The sequence below is a fragment of the Homo sapiens genome, chromosome 1 (genome assembly GCF_000001405.40).
Source record: "Homo sapiens chromosome 1, GRCh38.p14 Primary Assembly".
In the NCBI taxonomy this organism is placed as follows: domain Eukaryota; kingdom Metazoa; phylum Chordata; class Mammalia; order Primates; family Hominidae; genus Homo; species Homo sapiens.
In genome coordinates, this window is record NC_000001.11 from 186,435,535 (window position 1) to 186,442,200 (window position 6,666).

Here is a 6,666-nt window from a genome sequence, read left to right on the forward strand (position 1 = left end):
CACAAACACTTCAATTTTGTCATCCTTGAGGAGGACATATTGAAAACATTGTTCTACCTACCTCATAGAGCAATTGTGTCTCGTAGTTCTTCCAGTGAGATAATGTATGTGAAATAATTATGTAACATAACACATCATAAAAATGTTGGCTATCTTTGGTGCAACAAAGCTATTCCACAGCATGGATTATACTGTCTTTACATCAATTCTTTAGTAATTATGAACATACATAGTATTTGACTTTTATATATGTTTCAGGAATGCAATATCTAACTTATTCATGAGGTACTTTATTTTCATAGCAAGGCATATAAACAACTACCTATGACAAATGTATTTGTTCTTAAATGATTTTTCAAATTTTTGTTATTAAAAGCACAGGAGTTACTGCAGTAGCACCTATCTTGAAAAGTCAAGTTAAAATGATTATTGTTTGTGTATATAATATATGTGTGTGTGTGTGTGTATTGTGTGTGTAATTTTTTCAAATCCAATTGTTGTAAAAGATAACTGTTTTGTCATAGAGCCTGCATATTTTTATCTAAATATATGTTCGTACCATTTTAGTCATTATACTCTTTTCACGTTTTAAACTTCCAGTTAGAGACCAAACTTTTGAAAATTGACTAGAGAAATGCTGCTGTTGAGTTTACTTTCTTCTGAAAGAATATCTTTTCCTGTAATGGGAGGTACAATATTTCTGTACAGAGCTACTTCACTCCCACAAGTCATAGGTCATCAAGAAGAGCATCTACATCCCCAAATGTTTCAGAGTGTAAGTCAAAAACTCTTACAATTCCACTTCTTTTCATGTGTCTCGTAGATGTTTTAAGAATATTTTCAGCTGCATGGCTTGACAGCCTTGGGATTCCCTCACACATTCACAGTCTTTTTTGGATCAGTCTGATGTGAGCATGAAAACTGGGAGTTGTGGAGCCCACTTAGGAAATGATTGCAATTGTCCAGGAGACAGATGATGGTAATTAAGTTTCCATCAGCCTGGAACTCAGGACAGAAGATACATATTCTGTATGTAGAGGTAAGCAGTTCTTTCCTGGGGATGATTTTTACCTTCCAGAGGACAGTCGGCAATGTCTGAGGATAGTTTTAGTTGTTGCAACTGAGGGAGGGATGCTAATAGTATCTACTGGTTAGAGGCCAGGAATGCTGCTAAACATACTATAATGCACAAGACAACTCCCCACAGCAAATAATTATCTGGTCCAAAATGTAAACAGTGGTGATTTTCAGAAGCCTCGGTGTAGATGGTACCTGAAGTCGTCAGAGGGAATAACAGCATCTGAAGTGTGAGGGAGGAGACTAATCCAGAAAAACACCAATAGACAAGGAGCATGCATGCCCCCGGTCACAGAAGCAGAGAAGAATCTGTAGAGTGGTATTATGAAAACCAAAGTGAGGAAAGAATTTCAATTTGGGATTGGTAATCAGCATTCAATGTAGCCGAAAGTTAAGTAAGATGAGGACTGTTGAGTCTAACAGGCTTGGTGGTTAGGTGGTGTATTGGATATTCTCCATTTGCTTCTTAAAATTCACGTTCTATCTTTCTCCATCCTGTTTTATCCCTAGAGAAGGTTGACTTAACAGACTTCATCAACAGGGTTCTCTTGTCCTCTGGCTTTCAGCTGGATTCTGACAATGAAAGGTTCTGAAAAGAGATAGAAGAGCACGAGGAGAGAGTGCAAGTTGTTTTTCCCTGAAGCTCTGTCCCTCCTGGGCCACAGAGTGACAGGGGCAGTGTTTCTCTTCCAAAAGCAAAAGCTCCTGTTGGGCAGCTTTTTCCTATAGCTGCAGGTCTCACTGGTTTCTTGCCCCCTCCAGGCCTGTGGGTAGGAGTCACTTTCACCTGTTAATAGGTGGTGCTTCACTATCTTTTGTTAGTTTCCTGCCTAGACCCTTGTAAACAGTCTTTTTTTTTTATTATACTTTAAGTTTTAGGGTACATGTGCACAATCTGCACGTTAGTCACATATGTATACATGTGCCATGTTGGTGTGCTGCACCCATTAACTGGCCATTTAACATTAGGTATATCTCCTAATGCTATCCCTTCCCCCTCCCGCCACCCCACAACAGGCCCTGGTGTGTGATGTTCCCATTACTGTGTCCATGTGTTCTCATTGTTCAATTCCCACCTATGAGTGAGAATATGTGGTGTTTGGTTTTTTTGTCCTTGAGATAGTTTCCTGAGAATGATGGTTTCCAGCTTCATCCATGTCCCTACAAAGGACATGAACTCATCATTTTTTATGGTTGCATAGTATTCCATAGTGTATATGTGCCACATTTTCTTAATCCAGTCTATCATTGTTGGACATTTGGGTTGGTTCCAAGTCTTTGCTATTGTGAATAGTGCTGCAATAAACATACATGTGCAAATAGTCTTCTTTAAACTCCCTTCAATCATACCTTTTCTGTTTGTGTTGTTTCCTTCCAGGGACGTGCCTGACACAGAGGTCATTGCTGATCTGTATCAGAACCACTTTCAGTGGAATAGTTGAGGCAGATAGGTGGAAAAATAAATGGAAAGAAAGGAAGAAGATTAAATAAGAAAAATTGAATTTTTGTTTGTTTGTTTTTGCAAGGAGTTTTGGGAATGAAGAAGAGAAGGAAAATACTGGAGACAATAGGTAGTAATAATTTGGAAGAACCAAGACAAGTTTTTAAATAAGAGATAGAAAGTTGTTTTTAGGTTGTGAATAAAAAACATGGAGGGGATAGAACTGTAATATGAATAAAAAAGAAATTTGAATGTATTATAATCCAATTAAAAGCACAGATGACAATATTAGTCTCACATAGAAACACATCTTTGAGAACAATAAAATGGAAAATAGCTGAGTTAATAGATGTGGGGTAAGAAATTAGGGAAGTTCATGCCTGGTGGGCTCAGTGTCTACTGGGATGTTGAAAGAAGGTCGTTTAAGGATGTAGGAGAGGGAGACTGAGGAGAATAATGAAGGTTTGGAATAGCTGCTGTGGGAAACGGAAGAGGGATCTGTTTGCAGAACAAGCTATGGACCCCAGTTGAAGAGCACTGATTGGTTGATATATGTATGAAATTTTGAGGAAGATACAATTTTGTTGAGTAGGACTTACCAGCTAGTAGTTAGGAAAAGAGAGATCAGATGGTTGAAATGATTGGAAGTTTGGGGATTTAAACGATAAGTGCTTTGGAAGAATAAAGGGATAAAAATGGGGGAAGTGCCAGCAGGAAGGTGATTGATGACATCTGTCAAGTGTTTAGGCTGCACAGGAAGGATAGAAACAGGGAAAGTGGAGAAAGGCAGTGTCAAACAGGCAAGGCTGAGAAATTGCAGGTCTTAAACAACGTGTGGTTTGGTAGAAAAGAATTGAGAGGGCCGGGTGCGGTGGCTCAAGCTTGTTATCTCAGCACTTTGGGAGGCTGAGGCGGGTGGATCACTTGAGGTCAGGAGTTCGAGACCAGCCTGGCCAACATGGTGAAACTCCATCTCTACTAAAAAAGTTAGCCAGGCTTGGTGGCAGGCGCCTGTACCCCAGCTACTCGGGAGGCTGAGGCAGGAGAATCGCTTGAACTTGGGAGGCGGAGGTTGCAGTGAGCTGAGATCATACCATCATTGCACTCCAGCCCAGATGACAATGTGAGACTCCGTCTCAAAAAAAAAAAGAAAAAAGAAAAGAAAAAAATGAATTGAGAGAACTGGAAGGGTAGATGACTATCATCAGAGAATGGTATATTGAAATTGAAGGGAAGTTGGCAGTAAAAGTAAAAAGAAGAACTGCATGCCAGAATATGTTAGTTAATCAGAGGGGCATGAGTGGATGACAGTTTCTTCACGGAAATCCAGTATAAGCTGGGTTCCAGAATATAAGATCTCAACATTAATAAATAAGTAAAATTAAAATGTCACTATATCTTTTAATTTAAGAAATGTGTGCTCCCCTCTTAGACTGTAAATCTGTTGAAAAGAAAGAATGATTATATTATACATTTTCATCATCTCTTCTATTATTTAACATAATTCCTTGTATGTATTAGACACTCAGACATTTGTAGAATGTTTGAAAGGGAACAAAAATATATAAAATTTGTATCATGAGATAATGTATTAGATATATTTGAATAGATAAGTATACGATTAAATTTTATTCTATAATACATTCAGTATAAAACTTCAAAATGAATTTCTTATTTATGTGCTAAACTTTATTTTGTTTTCAGACTTAATTTAATTTGCTTATTGTGGTATCTACAGTCATTCTGAAATGGCAGTTTTTTGGGACTTCTCTCTTTCAATTCACATACATGAAAGTTTGAATAAGTTTCTAATACAGAGAAATGTGAGTGGTGTGTTTAGCATAGATTAATTGAATCCCAACTTCTTAATAAATTAACTTTTATTTACATAAGCAGATCCCTAAAATCGTATATCTGTGTACTGTATGCACCATTTTACTTCATGTATATCTATTAATAATAATGAAAACTAACATTTGAGTAATGTCAGTGTCAGGTACTGCTCTAGTTTACATAATTTACTCATTTTTCCCCTCACAACAACCCAATGAACATGTGCTATTATTTTTCTTATTTTACAGATGAGGAAACAGTAGAGAGGTTAACTAATTTGCCCAAAGTCATGAAATCAGTGAATGAATTAAAACTTAGGAGATCTGGTGTTCAAGATACTAACCACCATTACAGTATAGACACATGGATACAAATGCCGATGCGTTTATCTTTGATTGCTTGTTTGATGTTTGTTTTCTTTACCTTAAGATCTCTGAGATCAAGGACACTGGCTGTTAAATGGCATCTTATCAATAAGTATGTTGTGAACAAATAAATGAATGAGCTTCTGACTTTACAGGATAATTTTGCTATTTCCTCCAAAGTTTCCTATTAGTTTACAGCTAACACTCTTGGCTTTTCCTTCAAGTCCATTCCAGTTATTATTTGGGTGATTTGTTATGAGACATGTTATGACATTTTAAGCCTTTACATTTAAAACATCATCCTTTTGCTGAGACAATAATGATCTCTTCTTCTCCTCCTCCTCCTGCCAAAAGAATTGCAGATTAAGTGTTTACACGAGGGCAGTTTGTAATCCAGTATTTCTGCAGCAGCAGGCTTCAAATATTCTAGGCAAATCCTGCTTTTTGTTCAACTCTTCCTGATGAGTGTTGTGATTAAAGCTTCACCTTGGCATCCATTAGTCATCGAGTGCTTACTTTGAGAATGGTTGCTATCATCATTTACTCTATAAACAGGTGCCACCTAGTTACTTTTGTTTTGGCAATTATGGGTTAAATACATTCCTGAGCCTAGTCCTGCTTAAGCTTGCTAGTTCTCTATTTTAAATTAAGGCACGGTAGGTTATTTCTTTCAAGAGTAAAGGTTTCTTTAAGTAGGAATCTTTCAAATTACTCATTTTTACTCATTTTGATTCTTGTTTTCTGTAGATGAGTCTTTCACTGTTCAGCCTTGCTTTACTGTGCCTGGCTGACAAAACTGCATTACATCGCAGTTAACAATGGCTAATGATTAAAAATAACATATTTTATTCTTAAAATATTGCTCTCTTTTAAGATGCTTATTTGACTATTCTTCGTTACTGCCTTGCTACCATTCTTCTAAGTATTTACTTTCAGTCCATGGAATTAATGTCAATTTATAAAGAGTTGTTCCACTGAGGAGTTTTTGAATTATAAATATATTATGCAAGGATCCTGTTTTTTGCTACAGTTTTTTAGGTCCAGTAATTCCTTAGCAAAGAACTCTGTATGGGATTAATACATTTGTTAGCAATTACTTGATAGGAGAAAACATGTTGAACTATTACTTTAAAGCTACTTATTTTATATATAATTACCCTGAATGTCTCCTTTCTAGCACTTTTTCTCCATGTGATATGCCTGTTGTTCATCAAGTTAGAAATAGTCCATGGGGCAATTAAAATTACTTTCCCAGTTGATAAAGAAGAATAGAGGATGGAATTTTAGATTCATGAGCAAAAACACTCAGTACCTATTGAAGTGACCATATGTTAGGGAGTAGTCACAGTCAGGAGTTCTATCTCACCCACTTTTGTTTCACCAAAATCTAGTACAATCGCAGACCTTCTTCCCCTCCACTGCCACACCATTTGCTTCCTCCTTTCTTCCCTTCCTGCAATTGAGACATAGGATTTTAGAGTCTAGGACAGAGATAAAACTGGAGATGTGAATTTGAGAGTGGCCTTAATATAAATGGTAATTAAGATTATGAACTGGAGGACGTTACCTGGGGTGTTTAGAGGATAAATCAGCAAAGGAAACTTGGAAGGAATAGTCAGTGGAATAGAAAGCAAACAAGCAGTGAGTTTTCAAATCAGCCAAAGAAGTGACTTAAAAAGGGTAAGAGGCCAGGTGCCATGGCTCACGCCTGTAATCCCAGCACTTTGGGAGGCTGAGACAGGTGGATCACTTGAGGTCACGGGTTCGAAACCACCCTGGCCAACATGGTGAAACCCCGTCTCTACTAAAAATGCAAAAATTAGCCAGGGGTGGTAGCGCATGCCAATAGTCCCAGCTACTCCCAGGCAAATCACTCAAACCTGGGAGGCGGAGGTTGCAGTGAACCAAGATTGCACCATTGCACTCCAGCCTGGGCTACAGAGTGAGACT

General features: G+C 37.6%; 1 long non-coding RNA gene across 1 annotated transcript in view; it reads left to right on the forward strand.

Moving 5' to 3' along the window:
- PDC-AS1 (PDC antisense RNA 1) overlaps positions 1-6,666 on the forward strand; it is a 35,131-nt gene that overhangs the window by 374 nt on the left and 28,091 nt on the right. The window contains exon 2 of the long non-coding RNA NR_126002.1: positions 824-1,039. This is a non-coding gene — a long non-coding RNA (PDC antisense RNA 1). The remainder of the gene's footprint in view (positions 1-823; positions 1,040-6,666) is intronic.